This window comes from Homo sapiens, chromosome 12, assembly GCF_000001405.40.
Source record: "Homo sapiens chromosome 12, GRCh38.p14 Primary Assembly".
In the NCBI taxonomy this organism is placed as follows: domain Eukaryota; kingdom Metazoa; phylum Chordata; class Mammalia; order Primates; family Hominidae; genus Homo; species Homo sapiens.
In genome coordinates this window covers 50,026,393-50,052,548 of record NC_000012.12, presented here as the reverse complement: position 1 = coordinate 50,052,548, position 26,156 = coordinate 50,026,393, and the positions used below count along the sequence as shown (strand labels likewise).

General features: G+C 49.1%; 1 protein-coding gene across 2 annotated transcripts in view, besides 5 other annotated features; it reads left to right on the top strand.

Annotated features, from left to right (window-relative positions):
- Positions 637 to 1,565: an enhancer, noted in NCBI's record as "NANOG-H3K4me1 hESC enhancer chr12:50444767-50445695 (GRCh37/hg19 assembly coordinates)". NCBI's record gives its function as "activates a minimal SCP1, AML or CMV promoter by ChIP-STARR-seq in primed H9 embryonic stem cells {active_cell/tissue: H9 hESC(primed)}" and the evidence as "EXISTENCE:reporter gene assay evidence [ECO:0000049][PMID:30033119]".
- Positions 10,151 to 11,039: a transcriptional cis regulatory region, noted in NCBI's record as "candidate enhancer chr12.1559 targeted for multiplex CRISPR interference". NCBI's record gives its function as "positively regulates TUBA1A gene expression with high confidence in K562 cells {active_cell/tissue: K562}" and the evidence as "EXISTENCE:mutant phenotype evidence [ECO:0000015][PMID:30612741]".
- Positions 11,378 to 12,133: an enhancer, noted in NCBI's record as "H3K4me1 hESC enhancer chr12:50434199-50434954 (GRCh37/hg19 assembly coordinates)". NCBI's record gives its function as "activates a minimal SCP1, AML or CMV promoter by ChIP-STARR-seq in primed H9 embryonic stem cells {active_cell/tissue: H9 hESC(primed)}" and the evidence as "EXISTENCE:reporter gene assay evidence [ECO:0000049][PMID:30033119]".
- Positions 12,134 to 12,889: an enhancer, noted in NCBI's record as "H3K4me1 hESC enhancer chr12:50433443-50434198 (GRCh37/hg19 assembly coordinates)". NCBI's record gives its function as "activates a minimal SCP1, AML or CMV promoter by ChIP-STARR-seq in naive and primed H9 embryonic stem cells {active_cell/tissue: H9 hESC(naive and primed)}" and the evidence as "EXISTENCE:reporter gene assay evidence [ECO:0000049][PMID:30033119]".
- RACGAP1 (Rac GTPase activating protein 1) overlaps positions 19,109 to 26,156 on the top strand; it is a 44,279-nt gene continuing 37,231 nt past the window's right edge. The window contains exons 1-3 of one of the 2 annotated variants that reach the window (XM_024448958.2): positions 19,109 to 19,182; positions 19,343 to 19,579; positions 20,682 to 20,852. In XM_024448958.2, the coding sequence (XP_024304726.1) occupies positions 20,800 to 20,852 (53 nt within the window). In that variant the 5' untranslated portion in view covers positions 19,109 to 19,182; positions 19,343 to 19,579; positions 20,682 to 20,799. Of the gene's footprint in view, positions 19,183 to 19,342; positions 19,580 to 20,681; positions 20,853 to 26,156 lie in introns of those variants that run through there. The other variant, XM_011538238.1, reaches the window with a different exon arrangement.
- Positions 24,949 to 25,243: an enhancer, noted in NCBI's record as "tiled region #11175; HepG2 Activating DNase matched - State 9:DNaseU". NCBI's record gives its function as "activates a minimal TATA promoter and a strong SV40 promoter by Sharpr-MPRA in HepG2 cells {active_cell/tissue: HepG2}" and the evidence as "EXISTENCE:reporter gene assay evidence [ECO:0000049][PMID:27701403]".

The following is a 26,156-nucleotide window of genomic DNA, read 5'->3' as shown; positions in this document are numbered from 1 at the left end:
CATGGGTTCCAGGTTGCCTGTCAGGCAGGTGTCTGCCTCTGCAATCCTGAAGGAGTGATCTCTGGTCCTCACCGTTCCCCAGCACCTCTCATTCCTGGCTCTCTCGGTGTCTCAGGCTCTCTTTCTTGTGCCAGTGCATCTCTGGGGGGCTCTCTCCCCATACTGCTGCCTCTGTCTGGGTCTCAGCAGTTTGTCTGCACATCCAGGACCATGTTGAACCCTTCTTTTTTCTCCCCAATTAGGGGGTTGGGGGACAGCAGATGGCCACCTTCCTTCTATGGCACATTACAATTTGTGTGTCAACATGCCATTTGGGGGAGTCAAGACTTCAGAAGGGAGGGATCATTAAAGAGACAATAGGCTGGGCATGGTGGCTCACACCTGTCATCCAAAGCACTTTGGGAGGCGGAGGCAGGTGGATCACTTGAGGGCAGGAGTTGGCCAACATGGCAAAACCCCATCTCTACTAAAAATACAAAAATTAGCTGGGCATGGTGGTAGGTGCCTGTAATCCCAGCTACTCAGGAGGCCGAGGCAGGGAGAACTGCTTGAACCCGGAAAGCAGGGTTTGCAGTGAGCCGAGATTGCGCCACTGCACTCCAGCCTGGGAGACAGAGCCACACTCCATCTCGAAGAGAGAGACAGAGAGGTGGAGAAATCGGGGCCAAGGCAGAACTTCAAAGGGCAGATGGACACACAATATGGAGTGAGAGGGAGGAGTGGAGACAGATGGAGAGGAAAGAGAAGAGAGAAGGTAGGGAGAGATGGAAAGATAGAGACTTCAAGATAGGGAAGAGACTGTTAAGGTCCTTCCCTGCTTTCAAATTCTGGGTCTTTGAGAACAAGCAAGAAAGGAGAGAAACAAAAGGTTCACATAGTGCCTGGGGTTATTTCCCCTCGCAGGAAACTTCCCTGGTTATCTCCCTACGGTAGCACTGACCCCCACTTCCCCCCTACACCACCTGCCCTGGTTTCTCTGTTTTGGGGGCTCTGGCTGGCCTGAGAGCAGATCTGTCCTGTCTCCTCCTCTTGCACCCCCTCAAGTCGGGGTGCTCCCCCAGAGCGAGCAGCGGCTGTCTTGACTACCAGAGGAGATGACGGAGGGGGAGAAATGTGGCTGAGACAGGCCTGGTGAGAGGAATGCGCCCAGGTCCAAACACAGCCCGCATTCGGTAGGTGCATTGTATTGAGGGCGCCCTCAGGCGGGACTGGCTCTCTAGCTCTGGGGTGCTGGGACCTGGCCTGAGTCTGGCTATTGTAGCCTCTCAATAGCGTTTAATGAGTTGTATAATAAGGAGCACCCCTGCGGGGGTTCTGGCTGGGTCTGGGCTTCCCAGGGCCTGGGGACACCTTCTTCCCCTGCATCAGTTGGCTTTTCAAGGCGCTTGTGTCTCTGAGCTGTCCCCCAGCTAAGTACAGTCCTCCCCTCTCCCCATCCCCCATAGGAAGACCCCTCTACAGCCTGCTGCCCTTCCCCACGGACCCCCCTCCCACCCTACCCAGGCCCCTCTGGAAGACGCAATCTCAGCGCCCAGGGCGGCCGCCCAGCCAGAGGAGGCAGTGCCGGTGAATAATTCATGGGGCTGGGAGGCCCTTATCTCCCTGGCCGGCCCCACCCGGGGCCCCGGCGCTGGGCCGCCGTCCCGCGGCTCCCCGCTTTATCTCGACGCCCAGCTTGTAATGCAGCCCGCCATATCACAGGCAGAAGGGGAGATTAATTTTCTAGTTTTGCATGGGCGGGGAGGGGGAGGGGGCGAGGGGAGGTGCTGGGGAGCAGAAGCTGGGATCTTTCCGATTTCAGACTCCAGCGGCTTAATCCTCTCCCAGGCCTGCAGGAAGGGGAGGAAGAGGTTGTTGCAAGCCAAATTTCATCATCAGCGGCAGCCCCAACAGAGGGAGGAGGCGGCGAGGGGCAAACAGACGGGAGAGGCAGCGGCGCTGGCGCAGAAAGGGGAGTTGTTTGGAAACAGGGTAATAGGCGGCCCTCTCAGCCTCGGCTCACAGGAGGCTCAGCTTGTCGGGAGCTGGAACTCCAGGCCGTGTGGGGCTTGCACGTGGGCACATGTATGTGCACACACAGGAGCTCCGGGCACATAGGCATACTCTTTGGGAACGGACACCAGGCTGGTGTCCGCTGCACCTCACACAGTGCCTGGCACAGAATAGACAAAAAAAAAAAAAAAAAAAAATGTTGACTGACTGAGGGGCTAAATGTCTGAGAGAATGTTGATGAGCTGAGCACACACAGCTCCACATGCTCCTAGAATCTGGCTCTGCCGTCTTCTTGCCATCTGCTCGGTGGACCCTGCATGTACAGACTGCTGGCTTCGTTGGTTTTCTGTACCCTCATAGTCTACACAGGTCAGTGAGGGTGGCCTGGGAAACCTGCAGGTTCCTGCTGCTTCTGCTTAGATGACACAACTACCCAGAGCTAGTAGAATCCACCGTCTGTTAGCTGAGCACCTATTACATGCCAGGCCTTGGGCTGGGCAGCCCTGTGTTTCCCAAGATCAATCAGAAGTGGGTCCTGCCTTCAAGGAGCTTATGGGTCAGCAGGGATGACCAGACACATAGGTGTTTGGCTCTGATGCAAGAAAGAATGCGATGCTTGCCAAGAAAGAGGTACTATTAAAGAGTTCAGAGGCAGGAGAGAGTTGGAGATGACCATGAAAGCATATTGGAAGAAGTGATATTTGAGATGGGTTTTGAAGGATGATAGGAGTTTGCAATGGCCATAATGGCATGGGAGGGAGGCAAGGCATTTCAGGTGGAGGGATAGTATGAAAGAAATGTTGATGATGGGGGACCAGGGTGAAGCATAGGGAGGAATTTAATCTGTCTGGTTGGCTGGAGGTGGCAGGGAATAAATAGTGAGGGCCAAGGCTGAGAAGTAGGAAGAGGTGAGGACGTAAGTATAAAGGAAATTGGATTTGCCCTGGGGTTACTGGAGAGCAATTAAATGGTTTTGAGCAGGAGGTGGCATAATCAAGGTAGTACTGGGATAAGATAAAGACAGCCAACATTTATTTAGCAAGTATGTGCTGGGCATTGTAGTAAGTGCTTCAAAAGGAGTTATTAAATCCTCACAACCTTCTTAGGTAGTATCATCCCATTTTATAGATGAGGAAATAGAGTCACAGAGATGCAAGCAATAGAATGGGGATCAATTGAAGACCCAGAAATCAGAGACAGGAAGCTTAGGATAAATTCTTTAACACCTCAGGTGCTTTTGGGTATGGAAAAAAATGTTTGTTATTTTTTGTACTTTGATGTCCAATTTATTAATCTCTATTCAAGTAATATTCCCCAAATACTCCCATACTATTTATACAACCAATAAATCAAAACTCAGAAATTTAGCAGGTTATGTTTCCTCAAATATTTAAACATTGATTGCAAATGAAATCAAATATCAAACTCTTCATAAATCTGTTTTTCTTTTCTTTCTTTTTTTTTTTTTTCAGAGACAGTACCTTACTCTGTTGCCCTGTCTGGAGTGCAGTGGCACAATCATAGTTCACTGCAGCCTCAAACTCCTGGGCTCAAGCAATCCTCCCTCCTCAGCCTTCCAAGTAGCTAGCATTACAGACATGTGCCACAACTCTTGGCTAATTTTTGTTTTTGTTTTTTTGAGATGGAGTCTAGCTCTGTCACCCAGGCTGGAGTGCAGTGGGGCAATCTCCGCTCACTGCAACTTCCACCTCCCAGGTTCACGCGATTCTCCTGCCTCAGCCTCCTGAGTAGCTGGGATTACAGGTGTGCGCCACTACGCCCGGCTAATTTCTGTATTTTTAGTAGAGATGGACCTTCACCATGTTGGTCAGGCTGGTCTCGAACTCCTGACCTCATGATCTGCCCGCCTTGGCCTCCCAAAGTGCTGGGATTACAGGCATGAGCCACCGCGCCCTGCCTAATTTTTGTATGTTTTGTAGAGACCAGATCTTGCTGTATTCCCCAAGTTGGTCTTGCTGTATTGCCCAATACAGGTCGGTCAGTACAGGTCAATCAGGCAATACAGGTATTTCTATATTGCCCGAAATCCTGGCCTCAATTCTCCTGCCTCAGTTTCGCTTATAAGGTTTAAACACCTTTAAAAGCAGACGAAACATACAATACAATTATTGCAAAAAAAATCCACCCACCCATTATGAATTTAAATTTCTCTGTTTAATATTTCTAATATTATGTTCTTTATTTTTATTCTTTTTTCTTTTCAGAGATAGGATTTTTTGTGACTTAAACTAGGGAGTAGAGATTTACCTTCTCCAACAGGCTGAGGCTGCAGAAGGAGTTGATTGGGATGGTTTGGGACCGGGCACACAAATCCTGGCAGGGTGGGGCTTCCAAGGAGATTTTTCGGGGAGTTCATTATGCAGCTCTTCACCTATTTCATCAGAAATTGTCCTCTTTATGCTCAGACCAATCATAGGTTCTAGTTTTGTGTGCGTGTGACCCTAATCTTTTCTCCAAATAATTCTAGTTTTGAGTACCTTATCTTTACAGCACAGCCCACCACGTAACCACTGTTCTCAGTGGAGCCTGGTCTGGTTCACTTAAGTCGAAAGCCCTTGGTCAATTGGTTAACTGGAACTACATCCCTTCCTTCTCATCAACCACTAAGACCTACAATATTGTCAGCTAGGGTGCTGAAGCAAGGGTCTAAGACGTGGTATTAAGAGCTTGAATTAGGGCAGTGGCAATGGAAATAAAAAGGAAATGACAGTTTTCAGACACTCCATGAAGGCAAAATTGACTTCTATTAAATGGGGGATAATAGCTTACCTCATAGAATCAAATGAAAACACGTGAAGTCCTTTGTACCTTATAAGCACCATTAAGTCCTAGTTGTTTTGGCTTTTGTTATGTTACTAGTACAAGCGGTCAAGGAGGAAACCTTCGGGGTTTCATCAAAATTTAAGGGGTAAACAGAAAGCGGACGCAGATAAGAGGCTGAAAGACAAAGGGACCTGAGAAAGATTGGCCAAAGACATGGGAGAAGAACAGGAGAGGAGGAATGTCCCTTAGGCTGAGAGGGTGGGAGGCAAGGGAACAGTTACAGAGGCCCAGGAGTGTGTTACAGAGGCCCAGGAGGGAGGTGGTGAAGGCCTGAACTAGGTGGGAACCATCTGGGTGTGTTAGAATGTCTCCTGGGACACACCTGGGCTGTAGGTCTTAGTGGTTGATGAAACAAAGGGATATCTTAGGGGAAATTGCAGATGGTGGCTGACTGGACGCACTGATGAGTGTGAGGGGAAGCTGGCAATTTTAAGTTCATGTACTTGGGGCCTGGCCAGGTGCAGAAAAGGAAGGTTGGGGTGGCCCTAGGTTCCTACAATGCACAGAAAAAAGGTACCCTGTTGTGACTAGGCTTGACTCTCCTTTGCAAAACGAAACTACTGTCTTAACCATGTGGCCCTCAGCTTTCTAGTGCAGCTAGCACCTTCTGCTCAACCTCCACCCTTTTCCTGGGAAGCAGAATTATAGAAGTTTCTTTTTTTCTTTTTCTTTCTTTCTTCCTTTTTTTTTTTTTTTCTTGTGAGATAGAATCTCACACTGACACACAGGCTGGAGTGCAGAGGCACAATCACGGTTCACTGCAGCCTCAACCTGCCAGGCTCAGGTGATCCTTCCACCTCAGACTCCTGAGTAGCTGGAACTACAAGCACATGCCACCACACCTGGTTAATTTTTGTATTTTTTGTAGAGACGGGCTTTCACTATGTTGTCTAGGCTGGTCTTGAACTCCTGAGCTCAAGTGATCTGCCTGCCTTGGCTTCACAAAGTGTTGGGATTATAGGTGTAAGCCATCATGACCGACCTATTTTTTTTTCTAGTATAATATTTACCTTAAAATTTTTGACCAGGTGCAGTGGCTCATGCCTGTAATCCCAGCATTTTGGGAGGCCGAGGGAGGAGGATCACTTGAGGTCAGGAGTTTGAGACCAGCCTGACCAACATGGGGAAACCCCATCTCTATTAAAAATACAAAAATTAGCCGGGCGTGGTGGTGCATGCCTGTAAATTCCTGCTACTCAGGAGGCTGAGGCAGGAGAATCACTTGAACTTGGGAGGTGGAGGTTGCAGTGAGTCAAGATCGCAGTATGGCACTCCAGCCTGGGCAACAGAGCAAGACTCCATCTCAAAAACAAAACAAACAAAAAAATTGGTATAAATTGCAACGTTATCTATGTAAGTATTAACCTTTTTTCCCTTCCTCCCCTTATTTATGCATGTATTTGAGACAGGGTCTCTCTATGTTGCCCAGGCTGGACTTGAACTCCTGGGCTCAAGGGATCCTCTCACCTCAGCCTCCTGAGTAGCTGGGATTACAGGCATGTGTTTATGGAACTGGCAGGGTCTTTAGAAATGATCTAATCCAGGCCGGGTGCGGTGGTTCACGCCTGTAATCCCAGCACTTTGGGAGGCCAAGGTGGGCGGATCGCGAGGTCAGGAGATCAAGACCATCCTGGCTAACATGATGAAACCCCATCTCTACTAAAAATACAAAAAATTAGCCGGGAGTGGTGGCAGGCACCTGTAGTCCCAGCTACTCAGGAGGCTGAGGCAGGAGAATGGCATCAACCTGGGAGGCGGAGCTTGCAGTGAGCCGAGATCGCGCCACTGCACTCCAGCCTGGCTGACAGAGCGAGACTCCGTCTCAAAAAAAAAAAAGAAAGAAATGGCCTAATCCATCTTTCACCTTTATCATTTAACAGACAAGGATACTGAGGCCAGAGAGCATCACAGGCATGATTAGTGACAAAACTGGGATTAGAATCCTGGTATCTTGACTCCTTGTCTAATACCTTTTCCCCCTGGTTACCCTACTGCAAGAGAACTTGGCCCCCATATTACCCATTATCACCTGGCTGCCTGAAGAGATTTTTCTATATAATTAGTCCCTATTATGGCTTGCCAGGCCTAAAAGCCCTGGCACTGGGGTCTTATTAGGGGGCTTGTGGTGATCATCGCAGGGATAAACCTTCAGAAAAGATGAGTCCTGGTCGGGCGTGGTGGCTCATGCCTGTAATCCCAGCACTTTGGGAGGCCGAGGCGGGCAGATCACCTGAGGCCAGGAGTTGGAGACCAGCCTGGCCAATGTGGCGAAACCCTATCTCTAGTAAAAATACAAAAAAATTAGCCGGGCATGGTGGCAGGTGCCTGTAATCCCAGCTACTCAGGAGGCTGAGGTAGGAGAATCGCTAGAACCCTGGGGGCAGAGGTTGCAGAAAGCCAAGATCGCAACACTGCACTCCAGCGTGGGCAAGAAGAGCAAAACTCCATTTAAAAAAAAAAAAAAAAAGGACAAGAAAAGAAAATATGACCGCTTTCTGTGCTTATCAAAAACAGCGGTGGGCCAGGCCCAATGGCTCATGCCTGTAATCCCAGCACTTTGGGAGACTGAGGCGGGCAGATTGCTTGAGGTCAGGAGTTTGAGACCAGCTTGGCCAACATGGTGAAACCCTGTCTCTACCAAAAATACAAAAATTAGCTAGGCATGGTGGCGGGTACTTGTAATCCCAGCTACTCGGGAGGCTGAGGCAGGAGAATTGCTTGAATCCAGGAGGCGAAGGTTGCAGTGAGCCAAGATCACACCGCTGCACTCCAGCCCCAGCCTGGGCAACACAGTGAGACTCTGTCTCAAAAAACAAACAAACAACAACAACAAAAACCAGGAGTGGTGTTGGGGAATTTCAAGAAATAGAAGATCATCAGAAGTAGGGAGAGATTAGAGGTAGGAGATGGAGGCCGGGGCTGGAGTGGATGGGCTCCTATGGGCTCCCATGGGCTCAGTGAAGCTCTGATCTAAACCCTATGTGAAGGACTGAGAGAGGGAAGATAAAGTGATGGTGGGGTGGGCGGTGTCTACAGCGGTGTGGTAGACCAAGGACATGGGGTTCAGTATAGAATAGGGTAGATGGCTTTATCCAAGTTGAAGGATCCACAGTCCAGCCCCCAAACTGGCAGCACCTCTCCATCCCCCCTGGGCCTCTGACCACTCTTTCCCCATCCCCCTTGGACTGCTGGAGGTAATTGCTCTCCATTTGGCCATTACTTAGCTCATTAATTGTCTAAAGAGGAAGAGCAGCCTGGAGTGAGAGTGGTTGGCAGAGAAAGCAATGAGTAGCGAGGACTCTAGGGGAATGGATGTGGGCCTGGACCTGGAATGGGGCTGGAACATTGTGGGGAAGAGTGGGTCTCATATATCTGGCTCGGGCCAACTGAATGCCCCTGCTCAGATCCAGTGTGAAGGAACCACTTTTCAATTCTAATAGGCCACCAATGCTTTCACTCTCAAATACCCTAGCATCCCTGATCTAATCACCACTCTCCAACTTCTCTACTGTCGTCATCACCACCATCGCCATTGTGGTAGGCAGCCTCTAAGATGGCTCTCAGTGACCCCTGCCTCCTGGCATTCATGCCCTTCATTGCATGGCATTCATGCAATCCTATCCCTTTGAGTGTGGGTTGTATTTAATGACTCACTTCTAGTGAATAGACTTCAGCAGAGGTGACGGGATGTCACTTCACGATTAGGCTACAAAAACACTGTGGCTTCCGTCTTGGTTACTCTCTCACTTGCACTGAGGAAAGCCAGCTGCCATGCTGTCAGCTACCCCACGAAGAAGCCCACATGGCAAGGAACTGAGGAAGACCCCAGGCCAACACTCATCAAGGTCCAAGAGCCTAAAATGAAATGAATCCTGCCAACAATCATGTGTGTGAACTTGGAAGAAGGTTGCTTCCAGTCGACACAACAGATGAGGCTGCAGCCCCTGCTGACACCTTGGTAGCAGCTTTGTGAGAACCCCTGAGCCAGAGGCACCCAGCCCTAAGCCATGCTCCAATTTCTAATCTATGTAAACTGCAAGGTAATAAATGTATGCTGTTTTGAGCTCCTAAGTTTTGGGGGTAATTTGTTATGCAGCAATATGTAACTAATACAGCCACCATCGCCACAGTCATCTTCAAATTCACATCATCAGTATCACCATTACCACTCCCAACACTACCATGCTCTCAAACTCACCACCAAAACTGCCATCATAGCCATCACCACCACTACTTTATACTCAAATGTGGATTCATTCTATCATGAGCATCATGACCACAATCATCACCAGTAGCTGCAAAATTCATCCTAGTATCCAATACGTCCCAGACCTTATGTAAGCCCTAAGGTTATGAAGAGGCAAAAGACAGTCTGTGCCCTCAGAGAATCAGCTGGGGACTCTAGTTAAGAGATTAGAACACATTCATAAAAAGTGGCTCATGCCTATGATCCCAGCACTTTGGGAGGCCAAGGCAGGCAGATCACTTAAGGTCAGGAGTTTGAGACCAGCCTGGACAACGTGATGAAACCCCGTCTCTACTAAAAATACAAAACAATGAGCCGGGCATGGTGGCAGGTGCCTGTAATCCCAGCTACTTGGAAGGCTGAGACAGGAAAATCGCTTGAACCCGGGAGGCAGAGGCTGCAGTGAGCCGAGATCACGCCACTGCAGTCCAGCCTGGGCAACAGAGCGAGAGTCCTCCTCCTCAAAAAAAAAAAAAAAAAAAAAAAAAAGTGAATGGTAAGTCAAGAAAGCCTATGCTTATTGCCACTGTGGGTCAGAGTGGGAGGGAAGGCTTCACGGAGGAGGGGACCTCAAATACAGGGGATCAAAGAGATCTGGATAGGCAGAGGAGGAAGGGGAAGACATGAGATGAGTCAGCCTGATGGTTCATGTGAAAAATGAAGTGAGGAGATCTAACCAGAAGGAAGGCCAAGCAGGAGAGCAGTGAGAGTTGAGGTTGGAACCAGAAAAGAAGCATATGAAGGTATAATGCATTGTAAGTTTGTGCATGACTCTATACTTCCCAGAGCATTCTCTGTGCCATCCTCTTTAACAGATGAGAAAACTATGGTTTAGAGTAATTTACAGATCTGTCCAGTTTTTAGCTCAGGGATGGGGAGACAGGCCTGGGGCTGAGGCCTCCAACCCTCTGCTCCAATGGGAGGCAGTGTGGAGTGATGGGATCCATCCAACCTGAGTCTCGGTTCCTTCCAGCTGGTAACAACGGGCAATTATTCAACGGCCACATCCACTATACCTACCTCTCAGGCTGTAGTATGGGCCAGATATATGAAAAACACTTCCTATATCTGCATGGTGCTTGGCACATGGCAGCCTGGTAATAAATATTAACTCCATCCCCTAGCCTCCCTCCACCGTCTCCTCTCCATCACCTTGTCCACTCACTGGAGGCTGGGTGGAAGTTGTCTCGTTCTGTATTCAGGCAAGCCTGCCACCCTGCACCACTCCGGGGCGCACCATTCACAGGAGGACATAAGGGTAGGAGGAGTTAGGAAGGAGACACTATTGACCAACTGCCTCTCAAACCTCCCTCTTCAGAATGTCTTTCTGGATTGGTCTGAGGAGAGTTGACAGCTACTCCTCTCAGTTCAGGATTGTTTGTCCAAGAAACTGCCTTATCTCCTTTCCCAGACAGACTGTGTCCTCACCCCACTTCGGGAGGGCAGGGACCAGAACTGGGATCCTAAGACAAGAAGGAACCCTGTGGAGCCATGTCCAGGACCAGCCTTCAGTCAGGGAACGCACCAGGAATCCCATTGTCTTGTAACAGGACAATGCTATTGGCACAATTGTTTACAACTTTCATATCTCCGGCTTTGTTGATACTCACTATCACCTTAGGACGCAGGCCTTATATTTGTGTCACCCGCATTTTATAGATGAATAAACCGGAGCTCAGAGAGGTTAAATGATGTTGCCCAAGACCAGTGAAGCAGCGAGTGGCTGAGCCTCCGCTAGGGTCTAGGGATGCCGAATGCCGTTGTTCTCTCCCTCACCCGCACTGCCCCAAGGCTTAGAGAGGCTCAGTGACTTGCACAAAATCCCTGCACTTGGAAGCGGTAGGGGGGTTAGAACCCAGGCCTCCTCTCCAGCCCCCAGAGCAGTGTTCTTTCTGTTCCATCACCCTGCACTGGGTAGAAAAACTGCTGTGGGGAAACAAGTTTGGCAGTTGAGAGGGAGAAAGGAGGGGAAGGGAGGAGGAAGGAGCTTGGGCTCTGCTGGTGACTGCGGAGGATGGGGTCGATATAGAGATGGGAGGGTTGGGACACCAGGGTCCCCAGGTGGCAGGGCCTGGGACCAGCCCTCCTCACTCTGTCAGGCCTGGGGCTGCAGGCTGCCAGTGCTCTTCCATCAAGACCCCCGGAGAGTCTGAAATCAAATATTCCTCCTCCCCTGCTCAGGCAGGCTTACTGCCATTGACAGCAAATGTATTGCTCTAATCTTTTCTCATTTTGCCAGGATGGGCTCCATTCTGACCTCCCTCCCAGCCTTGAAGGCTTCACAGAGGCAGGAGGGAAGCACGGAGGAACAGGAGGAATGAGATGGGAGGGAGGAGCAGGGGTTGGGCTGTAAATGGGGCAGCCACAACGATTCCAGGTTTCATATGGCCTCGTCTCTAGAAGGCTGGAAGATACTTCGAATTTGGAGGAAGTCAGTTCCTCTGCGTTCCCCGAGGGTTTCCCTGGGAAAGCAGATGGGAAAAGCTTGGTAGGCAGTAAGGAAGCAGGCCCTGGGGCCCCAGAGAAACAGACCAGGCTGGGTGTGTGTGGGTGTGTGGGGGTGGATGCTGGAGCCAAAATTCCAAGCTTGGGAGACTATCCTGTTGAGAAGAGGGGTAGGTTGTGTGTGTGCACCCTCTCCAGAGTGGCTGGCCTGCCTGCCTGTCCCGCTGTCCTCTGCCATCCAGGGAAGCCTTGCCAACATGAATGGCCCTGCTCTTTTGCCTGCCTCTCCTTCTGGCCTTCTCTGCTGGGAAGCACTCACTTGGGAAACCTCAGACAGGCATTGTGGGAGAATCAGAGGTGTGGGAGGGTGGGTGGAAGAGTCCTGGGAGGCACTTGGCCTGGGGGACAGGGATGGTGCCCAGAGCCCAGGCAAGGGGTGGAGGGGCAGATAGGGCAGAGGGGTTGTGGGAAAGAATTAGAAGCTCAGAGCCAGCTGGGGTCCATGAGAAGGGAAGAGCAGATGAGTAGGGCTTGGCTGGGAAGGGGAAGGGTGGCACCTCCAGAGCAGGAGTGAGGCAGGCAGAGTCCAGTGCTCCGCCTGAGAAGCTGGGAGGCCAGAGGCCCTGGATTCTACTTCATTTGTTCTGCTAAAATCAGCCCTGAGCATGTGTGCGTGCGTGTGTGTGTGTGTGTGTGTGTGTGTGTGTGTGTCTGTCTGTCTGTCTCTCCCAAGGTAGGGTAGAGTCCCTGTGCCCCATCATGGTGGGCATCCCTTTGTCTGAGTGTATCTTCGGGTTGGGCCCGAAAGTTTTCTGGGTCCTGATGGTTTATGAGTGGAGAGGGCCTCAGCCTCTGGCGGTGGGTAGGGGCGGGTGTGAGCTGCCTTGTCCCTTTGAGGCTCTCTGGCCCTTCCCAGGGAGAAAGTCCTGGCTGGAGTGTCTGAGCTGGGTGGAGCTCTGCCCGGGATTCAGCAGGGGAGGGAAGGGAGTGGAAGGAGGGTTCTGGCCTCCCAGTCCTCCCTTCTGGCAGTGAGCTGCTGCCTTCTACTGCTGGGCAAGGCAGGCCCTGCATGTCAGCAAAGATCTCAGAATTGTTACCTTTCTAGACAGACCCCCCTGCCTGGCATGATCTTCCTTCTCTCCTCTGATTGTCCCCAGCCCCACTTTCAGAATGGCTTCCCTGACTCCATAGGTCTCCATCCATTCCCTGCACTTGCGAGGTCCATGGGAAGCCACTCACTTGGGATAGCCATCCTGCCTTGTAGGAACATTTCCTCCTCTCAGTCCCTCTTGTCTGAGGATAGCTGAGGTGGAATTTGAGAAATTCTCTGTTTCTACGCCTCCAAGGTCCAACCAGACAGGAATGACTACTGGCTGCCACAGGAGCCCCCATGCAGGTGTGAGTCCAGTGCAGCGGACCTGGGACAGGTCACCCCACCCTGGGCCCCTTACCTCCCCCAGCTCTGGAGAGACACCTCCCTTACAGAGTACTTAGGTCTAACAGGTCTCAACTGTGGTCTATAGAGCCTGGGCCAGAAGCTTGACCTCACCCCTCTCTCTGTTTAGAGCCTGTTCACCATGGGCCTCAGCTTCCACGTTGCACAAGGGCTGCAGCGCCCCCTGGTGGCCCAAAGTCCTTTCTCCCAGGTGGCTGCGGAGGATGGCAGCTGATAAGGCCTTTAGAGGATATCTACACTAGGGGCTTCCAACCTTTTTATTCTTTTATTTTTTTAACTTAAGCCAGGAGCGGTGACTCACCCCACCCAGTAATCCCAGCACTTTGGGAGGCTGAGGTGGGCGGAGCGCTTGAGCTGAGGAGTTCCAGACCAGCCTGGCCAACATGGTGAAACCCATCTCTACTCAAAACACAAAATTCACCGGGCATGATAGCACTTGCCTGTAATCCCAGCTACGCAGAGGCTGAGGCAGGAGAATCGCTTGAACCCGGAAGGCAGGGGTTGCAGTGAGCCGAGATCCCGCCATTGCACTCCAGCCTGGGCGACAGAGCAAGACTCTGTCTCAATAATAATAATTAAAATTTTTTTGCAGTGATGGGATCTCACTATGCTGCGATGGAATACCTGGCCTCAAGCGATCCTCCTGCCTCAGCCTCTGAAAGCATTGGGATTACAGGCGTGAGCCACCATGCCTGGCCCAACCTTTTAAATTTTTTATTTATTTTTTATTTTTAATTCTTCTGGGTAACTTATAGAACCCAGCATAACCTTTCTATTTCCAAAAAAATTTCCCTGACCATGACCATATGGCAATAGCTGTACTTTTGTTATCTTTTGACTGAGAAAATACATGATGATTGAGTTCTGGATCGCATCATTAAAGCTCATTTGGATCTCGTCTCCCAGCAATCACACAGTTACACAGTCAGTTACACACAGATGGGCTACTCAGTCTTTATGGAGGCCAGGGGCTGAGTCTCTCCTGATCACTCCAAGGTTTCTACAGTTAGGGAACCACAGATCTATATTCTTCTTATGTAACAGATGAGGCCTAGAAAGGGGAAGGAACCTGATAAAATTCACACAGCTAGAGAAGTTGTGCCAGAATTTGAATTCAAGATAGATGCTTGTCAAAGGGACCGCAGGGGCTTAAATAGGGAGGAAGGTGCAGACAGGGCTCGGAGGAGGGGGCAGCAGAACAGGGCTGTCTCCAACAGGGGCAGGGAACCCCACCTTATTTCCTTACCATTCAGATTCAGGTAAGATATGCCCATAAAGAATGACCTATGGGAAGGAGATGTCAAAAGAACAAATACAAGGATGAGGGGAGAGGAGCAACCAGCTCTGCTTAAAGCCCCTTCCCCTATATACCCAGACTGTGCAGGTCATTTTAACCTCTAGGTTAAGAGTCATTTAACCTCGGCTAGGGGCAATGGCTCACGCCTGCAATCCCAGCACTTTGGGAGGCCGAGGCGGGCGAATCATAAGGTTAGGAGCTCGAGACAAGCCTGGCCAACATGGTGAAACCCCGTCTCTACTAAAAATACAAAAAATTAACTGGGCGTAGTGGCAGGCGCCTGTAATCCCAGCTACTCGGGAGGCTGAGGCAGGAGAATCGCTTGAACCCAGGAGGCGGAGATTGCAGTGAGCTGAGATTGTGCCACTGGACTCCAGCCTGGGCGACAGAGTGAGACTCTGTCTCGAAAAAAAAAAGAAAAAAAAAGAAAAAAAATTACTTGCCTAGAGATTAAATGACTTTTTTTTTTTTTTTGAGACGGAGTCTTGCTCTGTTGCCCAGTCTGGAGTGCAGTGGCAGGACCTTGACTCACTGCAACCTCTGCCTCCCAGGTTCAAGCGATTCCCTTGCCTCAGCCTCCCGAGTAGCTGGGATTACAGGCGCCTGCCCTCATGCCCAGATAATTTTGTATTTTTAATAGAGACGGAGTTTCACCATGTTGGTCAGGCTGGTCTCAAACTCCGGACCTCAGGTGATCCACCTGTCTAGGCAAGTCACTTAACCTCTCTGAGACTCAGCTTTCTCAATGGTAAAATGAGAGTGAACCATAATGTCTTTCTTACTCCTCATGACTGTTGTAAAAACCCAATTAAATATGTATAGAAGTTTTGGTAAATAGCAAAGTGATGGCTGGGTGTGGTGGCTTCACGCCTGTAATCCTAGCACTTTGGGAGGCCGAGGCAGGCGAATCACGAGGTCAAGAGTTTGAGACCAGCCTGGCCAACATGGTGAAACCCCGTCTCTACTAAAATACAAAAATTAGCTGGGCATGGTGGCACATGCCTGTAATCCCAGCTACTCGGTAGGCTGAGGCCGGAGAATCGCTTGAACCCAGGAGGTGGAGGTTGCAGTGAGCTGATATCGCACTCCAGCCTGAGCGACAGAGTGAGACTCTGTCTCAAAAAAAGAAAAGAAAAGAAAAAAAAGGTTATGGATGCCAAGTTCCTTTCCCCAGTCACTTTGCTATTATTTATTTATTTATTTATTTTTGAGATGGAGTCTCGCTCTGTCGCCCAATCTCAGCTCACTGCAACCTCTGCCTCCCGGGCTCAAGCAATTCTCCTGAGTGCAGTGCTGTGATCTCAGCTCACTGCAACCTCTGCCTCCTGGGTTCAAGCGATTCTCCTGCCTCAGCCTCCTGAGTAGCTGGGATTACAGGCATGCGCTACCATGCCTGGCTAATTTTGTATTTTTAGTAGAGACAGGATTTCTCCATGTTGGTCAGGCTGGTCTCGAACCCCCGACTTCAGGTGATCCGCCTGCCTCAGCCTCCCAAAGTGCTGGGATTATAGGCGTGAGCCACTGTGCCTGGCCCCATAACCTCTTATTTAATCTTCAGCTCAACCCTGTGAAGTAGGTTATGTTATTCTCATTTCACACTGGAGGTAAAAGAAGCAGAGTGTAACAGAAACGGAGGGAAGTTTAATAGGGAGGAAGAGAGCTGAATTTGACTCCAGGTCAGACTAGGGAGAACTAGCTCCTGGCTTGTCTTTCAGAATTAACAGTTAGTAGAAGTGGCACTTGTTACAATTTACGTAAATCTCTGGTCTGCTTTTTAGAACCAGCTACTTCCTCTCACTCTTGGCAGCCCATTCCTCTATAGTTCCAGCCATCTTGAACCCAGAGCAGCAAGGTGTGCCCTGAATAAAGTGCAGACAGGCAGTGGGCTTTGCTTGAAGCAGGAGTTAGCTGAGGCGGGCAGAGTACAGGACTGTGCGTGGCAGTAGAATACCAAACCTATTTGCACATAAGAATCACCTGGGAAGATGATTTTTGGAAAATCTCTGAGTCCTACACCTCATGATTCTCAGCTTTGGACCTGTATTTTCAATGCTGATGACCAGCTGAGCTTGGGAAGGGGACGGTGAGGCTACTTTACCGTCTCAGATACAGCCATTCAACATGTTGTTATAGAGCGGTGGTTCCAAATGTGGTTCCCAGATCTGCAACATCAGCATCATCTAGGAATGCATTCAAAATGAAAATTCTTGGGGCCCATGGAAGACGGATGGAATGAGGAACTCCATGATGGGTCCCAGCAATCTGTATGTTACCAAGCTCTCCAGGGGATTTTGATGCACGCTAAGGTTTGAGAAGCACTGGTATAGAACAGGGACTTACTGTGAGTCAGACACATTGTTCGGCAGGGGACAGGCTGGGGTGAATAAGCTACGGTCTCTGTTTTTTTTTTTTTTTTTTTTTTTTTTTTGAGACAGAGTCTTGCCCTGTCACCCAGGCTGAAGTGTAGTGGGGCGATCTTGGCTCACTGCAACCTCCGCCCCCCGAGTTCAAGTGATTCTCCTGGCTCAGCCATCCGAGGGGCTAGGATTACAGGCGTATGCCACCATGCCCAGCTAATTTTTGTGTTTTTAGTAGAGATGGGGTTTTGCCATGTTGGCCAGGCTGGTCTTGAGCTCCTGACCTCAGTTGATCTGCCAACCTTGGCCTCCCAAAGTGCTGAGATAACAGGCATGAGCCACCACACCCGGCCTATGGTCTCTGTTTTTGTTTTTTAATTAATTAAATTTTTTTTTTGAGATGGAGTTTTGCCCTTGTTGCCCAGGCTGGAGTGCAATGGTGCAATCTCAGCTCACTGCAACCTCTGCCTCCTGGGTTCAAGCGATTCTCCTGCCTCAGCCTCCTGAGTAGCTGGGATAACAGGCATGTGCCACCATCCCTGGCTAATTTTGTATTTTTAGTAGAGACAGGGTTTCTCCATGTTGGCCAGGCTGGTCTCGAACTCCCGACCTCAGGTGATCCACCTGCCTCGGCCTCATAAAGTGTTGGGATTACAGGCGTGAGCCATCGTGCCCGGCGGTCTCTGTTTTCAAAGAGGTTGGACTCTAGTAGAGATGAGTTCAGCATGTCAATAACTATATCCCCTCCTCCAAGCAGGGCTCCCCAGAGCCTGGACACCCAGGAGAGACACAGGCGTGTTTCTAAAGGGGGACTTGTTTCTATTTGTTCCTATTAGAGTTTTGTTGTTATTGTTGTTTTGTGGGTGGTTTGTTTTGTTTTGTATTTTTTGAAACAGAGTCTTGCTTTGTCTATTACAGTTTGATTTAGTTCAACACTTTATTGAGTGTGAAAGGGTGATTCCTAGGCATGGGGCAGGGAAACATTGTTTTTGATTTTTTTTTTTTTTTTTGATGAGAGAGAGAGAGAACATCAAAAAAAAAGGGGAAAGAAACAGAGAATGTTATATGTAAATGCTTATTTAGAAATAAAATGCTTGTTCCCTGGTGTCACAGAGAAACAGCACTTAAACATAAATTTAATTCTCTTAGCAAAGCCGTTTTTACTTTCTGCAGAAAGGGTGCTCATCGCAGATGGAACAATGGCAAGAGCACATTTGAACAAAAGAGGGAAGCAATTTTTATTCCTTATGCAGTTTTTCCCTGCTACTGTCTTGTCTCCATTGGCTGGAGCCAGACTGCACAATTTAAAACCCGATTGGCTAGCAGTTTAAAACTTTTCTAAATAGGTAAAAGTAATGGAAGGATAAAGGAAAAGAGGAAGTTGCTTATGCCAAACAGGGAAGGGGCATAGGCTGCGAGCTGGTACCTGCCTGTGAGCATGTCCAGCACAAATATTTTGGTTTAAGGTACAAGGACATAGAATGTACTATATGCCTGTGAGTGTGTTTAACAGCTACATAGGATAGGGCCCAACAAAGAGTTATTACCATAAAATAAGGAGGCTTAAAGCAAGTTAGTCTTTAAAATAAACTATTATTTCTAACATTATTTTTTTAACAAGAAGGGAAACTTTGAAGAGGAACTTTTTACTTTCTACAGAGAGGAAGACAGAGGGATACAAAATAATTATAAGTAATACTCATGGAGTTACTATGTGGCAGGCACTGTGCTAAGAGCTTTGCAAACACCCATTTATTGCTCCCAACAGTGCTTTACACTATTATTATCATCCCCATTTAATAGATGTGGAAATGGAGGGACAGAGAAGTTAAGTTGCCCACTACACAGGTCATAAATGGTGGAAGTAGACCTTCACCCAGGGCCAAAATAACTCCAGGCCTGTGTGTTTACCCACTGTGCTTATTGTTTCTCTTAGAGAAATAGGAAGAAAACCTTCAATGGCTCACTAGTCCCTCAGGAATTACACTGAATTTATCTGGCCTGTCATTCAAGGTACCTCAGCTCTGCTCTCAAAAGTCCTTCCAGCCTGTGGGGTGTGATGGCTCAGGCCTGTAATCCCAGCACTTTGGGAGGCCAAGATGGGAGGATCACCTGAGGTCAGGAGTTTGAGACCAGCCTGGCCAACATGGTGAAACTCCATTTCTACTAAAAACACAAAAATTAGCTGGGCGTGGTGGTGCGCGCCTGTAATCTCAGGTACTCAGGAGGCTGAGGTGGGAAAATCGCTTGAACCTGGGAGGTGGAGGTTCCAGAAAGCCGAGATCGCGCCACTGCACTCCAGGCTGGGAAAGAGAGCGAGACACTGTCTCAAAAAAAAAAAAAAAAAAAAAAAAAAAGTCCTCCCAGCCTTACCCGCCCCCCAGCCAAGATCCTCTCACTCCAGTCAGGCTGGACTGACTTCCCTATTTCTCTCAGCACTTCCTGCCTACTTCAGTCCCCAGCCTCCTCCCTGTTGGGGTCCTATTCATCCTTCAAAGCTCAGCTCAGAGGTCTCTTCTTTGACAGTCTTGAGTCCCAGCCAGAGGTGGGCCCTCCCTCCCTGGACCCCCAGAACACAGCCCCCACCTCCGCACTCTGCGCTGCAGGCCCTGGCCTTGCACCCCGCATCGCCCCACCCCCGCCCCTGGGCTTAGCGCACAGCCTGGAAGGCAGAAGGGCTCAAAGCTTCTTGGTGTAATTCACAGGGGGAACGATAATCCTGGATGGGAGGTAGGGAGCCAGACCTCCAGAGGGCAAGTGAGAAGGCCATGGGAGGCGGAACCCAGCGAAGGCGAGAGAATGAAGACACGCATCGGGCTGTGGCCAGACGGTTGGCAGCCAGGGACCTAGCCAAGCCTCCCTGCCCCCGACGCCCGCGTCCAGGGATCGTCGATGACAGTTCGCCTGTCGGGACATCGGATCAGGCGGCCGCCCCTGGGGAGGTGAGGGCCGGTGGGGTACGGGCGCGCTCGGGAGGTCACCCGCAACCACCTATCAGCACCAACCCCATCATTGGTGCCTGGGCGCGGGGGAGCGCGTGGGAGGGGGGCGCCCCCGCTTGCCGCCCCCGCGCGGGATAACAGGCGCGTTCCAGCCTGACCTCTCCCGCACCTCGGAAGCACTCAGAGCGCGCGTCTCGCCGGACATGGGAGATTAAATAACCGGATACTGCACCTCTCCTAGGTGGCAGAGCGGGGAATCGAACCCAAGCTTTCTGGCACCAGCTCTCAAAGCTCTCAAGCTTCTCCGGTTACAAGTGCAGCCCCAGGATCCCTCCCTACTCTGGAAGCTACAGTTTGGGAAGAAAGGGAGTTAGGAACCCGCGCCCCCACGCCACCCCGCTTCACACACACACACACACACACACACACACACTCACCTTTTCCTTTGCTGCCTTCTCGCTGGGGCGGGTGCAGCAGGGAAGGAGATTGAGAGGAATTGGAAGGGTGGGTGGTATTTTGGGTAGAGGCAGGTGTAAGAGAGACAGCATCTCCAACCCCCATCCATTATTTGGGACACCGTCCTATTGAACTTAACTCACCTCCATTACACAGCTATTTATTGGAGCTGCAAAAGCAAGACTAGTACATGGAAGGAGTACCATCCCTTCTTCTCTGGAAGTTCATAGTCTAGTAGGGAAAATAGGCATTGCAGAGTGTTTACAGTGGGCCAGGAACTGTGCTAAGTGTTTTATAAGGATAACTCATTTATTCCTCTCGACAACCCTAGGAAATAACTATTATTATTATTATTATTATTTATTTTTGAGACAGAGTCTCGCTGTGTCACCCAGGCTGGAGTGCTGTGACACAATCTTGGCTCACTGCAACCTCTGCCTCCCAGGTTAAGCAATTCTCCTGCCTCAGCCTCCCAAGTAGCTGGGACTACAGGCACGTGCCACCACACCAGGCTAATTTTTGTATTTTTAGTAGCGATGGGGTTTCATCATGTTGGCCAGGCTGGTCTTGAACTCCTGACCTTGTGATCCACCCTCCTTGGCCTCCCAAAGTGCAGTATTATTATTATTATTATTTCCATTTATAGATGAGCAAGTCAAGCCACAGCTGACCTGTGAAAGGCCGTGTAACAGTGACTGGAAGAACCAGGAAGCCTAAACAAATCAGGAGTATGAAAGGGAGAGAACACAGTGCTGCGGGAGTTTATGCCAAAGGCACGGACCCAGGCATCAGCGTTTAAGTTTAAACTGTCTAGAGGGTGAGTAGAACTTATCCTGGTGAAGAGGCACTGGAAGTTCGGGAAGTTCCGGAGAGTGCTGGCGCACAGGGAAGGTTGAAGGCCCCAGGTGGAAATGGTAGCCAGGTGCGTGGAGGAACTGCAAACGAGGGTTGGGCAGTGCAGCTAGAAGGGCGAGCAAAAGCAGCCTAGGAGGGCCTTGTAAAGGATTTTGGTCTTTTTTTTTTTTTTTTTTTTTTGAGATGGAGTCTTGCTCTGTTGCCCAGGCTGGAGTTCAGTGGTGCAATCTCGGCTCACTGCAGCCTCCACCTCCCAGGTTCAAGCAATTCTCCTGCCTCAGTCTCCTGAGTAGCTGGGATTACAGGCACACACCACAATGGCCGGCTAATTTTTTTGTATTTTTAGTAGAGACGGGGTTTCACCATGTTGGCCAGGCTGGTCTTGAACTCCTGACCTCAAATGATCCGCCTGCCTCAGCCTCCCAAAGTGCTGGGATTACAGGTGTGAGCCACCGCGCACGGCAGAATTTTAGTCTTTATTAGAAGGCAAGTTGAAGTCATTAAGGATTTTAAGCAAGGGAGATATATGATTAGAATCACATTTTTACTTTAACATTTTTTTTCAAGTTTATTTTTAAAAATTGGCCGGGCGCGGTGGCGTCTGTAATCCTAGCACTTTGGGAGACCAAGGCAGATGGATCACCTGAGGTCACCAGTTTGAGACCAGCCTGGCCAACATGGTGAAACCCCATCTCTACTAAAAATACAAAAAGTAGCCAGGCATGGTGGTGGGCGCCTGTAATCCCAGCTACTCTGGAGGCTGAGGCAGGAGAATCTCTTGAAACTGGGAGGCGGAGGTTGCAGTGGGCCGAGATCACGCCATTGCACTCCAGCCTGGGTGAAAGAGCAAAACTCCGTCTCACACACACACACACACAAAAGACATAAAATTGAACATATTTATCATGTACAACATGATGTTTTGAAGTATAATGTATATATATTATGGTTTTTGTTTTGTTTTGTTTCTGAGACAGAGTTTCACTCTGTCGCCCAGTCTGGAGTGCAGTGGCGCAATCGCGGGTTACTGCAACCTCTGCCTTCTGAGTTCAAGCAATTCTCCTGCCTCAGCCTCCTGAGTAGCTGGGATTATAGGCATGTGCCACGACGCCCGACTGATTTTTGTATTTTTTAGTAGAGACAGGGCTTCACCATGTTGGGCAGGCTGTTTTCAAACTCCTGGCCTCAAGTGATCCACCCTTCTCAGCCTCCCAAAGTGCTGGGATTACAGGTGTGAGCTACCACGTGCTCTCAGACTGTACATATATTATGGAATGATTAAATATAGCTGCTTTTTTTTTTTTTTTTTTGAGACAAGGTCTTGCTCTGTCACTCAGGCTGGAGTGCAGTGGTGCAATCATAGCTCACTGCAGCCTTGAACCCCTGGGCTCAAGTGATCCTCCTGCCTCAGGCTTGCAAGTAGCTGGACTAGCCAAGCCCACTACATTCAGCTAGTTTGTTTGTTTTAAATGAAAGCAAGTTTGTTAAGAAAGTAAAGGAATAAATGAGTGGCTACTCCATAGGCACAGGAGCCTAATTTTTCAGTTTTTTGTAGAGAGGAGGTCTCGATATATTCCCCAGGATGGTCTTGAACTCCGGGCCTCCAGTGATCCTGTCGTCTCAGCCTCCCAAAGCACTGGGATTACAGGCATGAGCCACAGCTTGTCTGGCCAAATCTAGCTCATTAATTAAGCTATGCATCACTTCACATAGTCATCATTTCTGTAGTAGAATTGCATTTTAATTTTTATTTATTTATTTTTTTTGAGACGGAGTCTCGCTCTGTTGCCCAGGCTGGAGTGCAGTGGCGCAATCTCAGCTCACTGCAACCTCCACTTCCCAGGTTCAAGCAATTCTCCTGCCTCAGCCTCCCGAGTAGCTGGGACTACAGGCGCCCGCCACCACGCCCAGCTAATTTTTTGTATTTTTAGTAGAGATGGGGTTTCACCATGTTAACCAGGATGGTCATGATCTCCTGACCTCGTGATCTGCCCACCTCGGCCTCCCAAAGTTCTGGGATTACAGGCGTGAGCCACCGTGCCCAGCCCTCAAATTTTTTTTTAATTAAATTAAATTTTATTTTTTGAGACAGAGACTCGCACTGTCACCCAGGCTGGAGGGCAGTGGCACAATCTCGGTTCACTGCAACCTCCGTCTCCCGGGTTCAAGAGCGATTCTCCTGACTCAGCCTCTCGAGTAGCTGGGATTACAAGCACACACCACCATGCCCGGCTGCTGTTTTTTGTTTGTTTGTTTGTTTGTTTGTTTGTTTTTGAGATGGAGTCTTGCTCTGTTGCCAGGCTGGTGTGCAGTGGCGCGATCTCAGCTCACTGCAACCTCTGCCTGCCGGGTTCAAGTGATTTTTCTGCCTCAGCCTCCTGAGTAGCTGGGACTATAGGCGTGCAGACCACCATGCCCAGCTAATTTTTTTTTTTTTTTTTTTGAGATGGAGTCTCACTTTGTCGCCCAGGCTGGAGTGCAGTGGCGCGATCTCGGGTCACTGCAACCTCTGCCTCCCAGGTTCAAGCCATTCTCCTGCCTCAGCCTCCTGAGTAGCTGGGACTACAGGCGCACGCCGCCACGCCTGGCTAATTTTTTGTATTTTAGTAGAGACAGGGTTTCACCATGTTGGCCAAGATGGTCTCGATCTCTTGACCTCGTGATCTGCCCACCTCGGCCTCCCAAAGTGCTGGGAATACAGGCATGAGCCACTGTGCCCGGCCTAACTTTTGTGTTGTTAGTAGAGACAGGGTTTCACCATGTTGGCCAGGCTGGTCTTGAACTCCTGACCTCAGGTGATCTGCCTGCCCTGGCCTCCCAAAGTGCTGAGATTACAAGTGTGAGCCACTGTGCCCGGCCATAATTGCATTTTTATTTTTATTTTTTTGAGACAGAGTCTTTCTCTGTCACCCAGGCTGGGGTGCAATGGCATGATCTCAGCTCACCGCGACCTGTGCCTCCCAGGTTCGACCAATTCTCCTGCCTCAGCCTCCCAAGTAGCTGGGATTACAGGCATCCACCAGCACACTTGGCTAATTTTTTTCGCATTTTTAGTAGAGACGGGTTTTCACCATGTTGGCCAGGCTGGTCTCGAACTCCTGATCTCAAGAGATCCACAGGCCTCGGCCTCCCAAAGGGCTGGGATTACAGGCGTAAGCCACCTCGCCCAGCCATAATTGCATTTTTAAAAGATCACTTGAGGAGTAAAGAATGCAAGGGAGGGCAAACAGTTTCACTGGGGTTGGACTACCAGATTGGACAAGGGTAGTGACAGGGGGAAGGAGAAAAGTGGGCACACACAAGAGATCTGTACTTAGGAGTTTCACTCAGTAATTGAGGTGTAAGGGAAAGAGAGAAAGCTGAGGCATTCTACACTCCCCTGCTTCTCTCCCTCACCCCTGAGGTCCAATCATTTAATAAGTCCATTTCATTTCATTGATTGATTTCATAAATATCTTTCCCACCTGTCCCCTCCTTGTCATCCCACTGCCACTGGCCTAAATAGAGAGTCTACCTTTACATTTTTCCCTTTCCAGACAATCCTGCTTGCCATGTTAGCATATGTTCTATCCAAAGACAAATCAGTCAAGTCAGTCCAAGTCCCATTGTCTTGTCATTGAGTCCGTTACAGGATCAAGTCCAATCCGTTCCTAGTGTGGTCTCATCCTACTTTGCCAGTCTCTCCTTTTCCTTCTCAGGCCAAAGCTACTCAAGAAGCATCACACTCACTTAACCCCCAACATCACCTGAAAGTTGAGGTAAATGTTCCTTCACAGCCTAAACCTTCATAAACGCTTTCTCGTGTATTGATTGATTGATTGATTGATTGATTTGAGATGGAGTCACGCCCTGTTGCCCTGGCTGGAGTGCAGTGGCATGATCTCGGCTCACCACAACCTCTGCCTCCCGGGTTCAAGCGATTCTCTTGCCTCAGCCTCCCGAGTAGCTGGGATTACAGGCGTCTGCCACCACGCCTGGCTAATTTTTGTATTTTTAGTAGAGATGCGGTTTCACTATGTTGGCCAGGCTGGTCTCGAACTCCTGACCTCACGATCCACCCGCCTCGGCTTCCCAAAGTGCTGGGATTACAGGCATGAGCCACTGTGCCTGGCCTTGTGTATTTATTAAATATATGCTTGCCTCATTCTTCAGAGGTCACATGATCTTCCTATTGCCAGTAATTTTCCATTCCCTTCTCTCCTGTAAATTCCTATTCACACAAGACCCAGCTCAGATCAGTCTCTGCAGGCTTTTTTAACACTCCCACTCCCCAGATAGGATTAATTGCTTCCTTGTCTGTGCTCCTAAAGTACTTTATACATGTCTTTGTCCTACTACTTATTTCATTTTATTATAGGTATCTAAGCAGGCACAGGCTAATGCAATCAATGAATGCTCCTGACCTTGAAAGGTTGTTAGGAGGATTAAATGGGATAACAAATGCACAGTTCATATTTTCTTTCTTCATCCCTTTCTTAATAATATTAATAATAATCTGTATTGCAGTTTACCAAGTATAAACTTTGATAGTGTACCACACTGTGTCTCAGTCGATCTGGGAATAAACCTGTGAGATAGAGATGGGATTATTATTTCTACATTATACTTGGAGGAAGTGAAGTACAGAAGTATTAAAAAGTGATAATATGGGTGGGTCAGCCGAACGCCTGCTATTGTTCAAGGCCAGGTGGAGTGCTACTGTCTGTAATCCCAGTGCTTTGGGAGGCTCAGGTGGGAGGATCACCTAAGGCCAGGAGTTCAAGACTAGCCTGGACAACATAGTGAGACCCTTCTCTACAAAAGATAAACAAACAAGCAAAAGAATTACCTTGATCATGTGCCTGTAGTCCTAGGTATGAGGGAGGATCCCTTGAGTGTAGGAGTTCATATTTGCAGTGAGCTATAATTGTGCCACTGCACTCCAGCCTGCGTGACAGAGTAAGACCCTGTCTCTAAAATAAAAGTGGAGTCAAATTTTCGGGTTACAAAATTTGTGATGTGATTTTTGGATAAAATACAATTTTATATATTTATGGTGATGTTTTGATGTATGTATACACTGTGGAATGACTAAATCAAGCGAATTAATATATCCATTACCTCACATACTTTATTGAGGTGTGTGGTGAGAGCATTTAAGATCTACTCTTAGCAATTTTCAAATGCATTATACTTTGTTATTAACTACAGTCACTGTGTTGTACAATAGATCTAAATTTTCCTCTAACTGAAATTTTATATCTCTTGACCAACATCTCCCTAATCT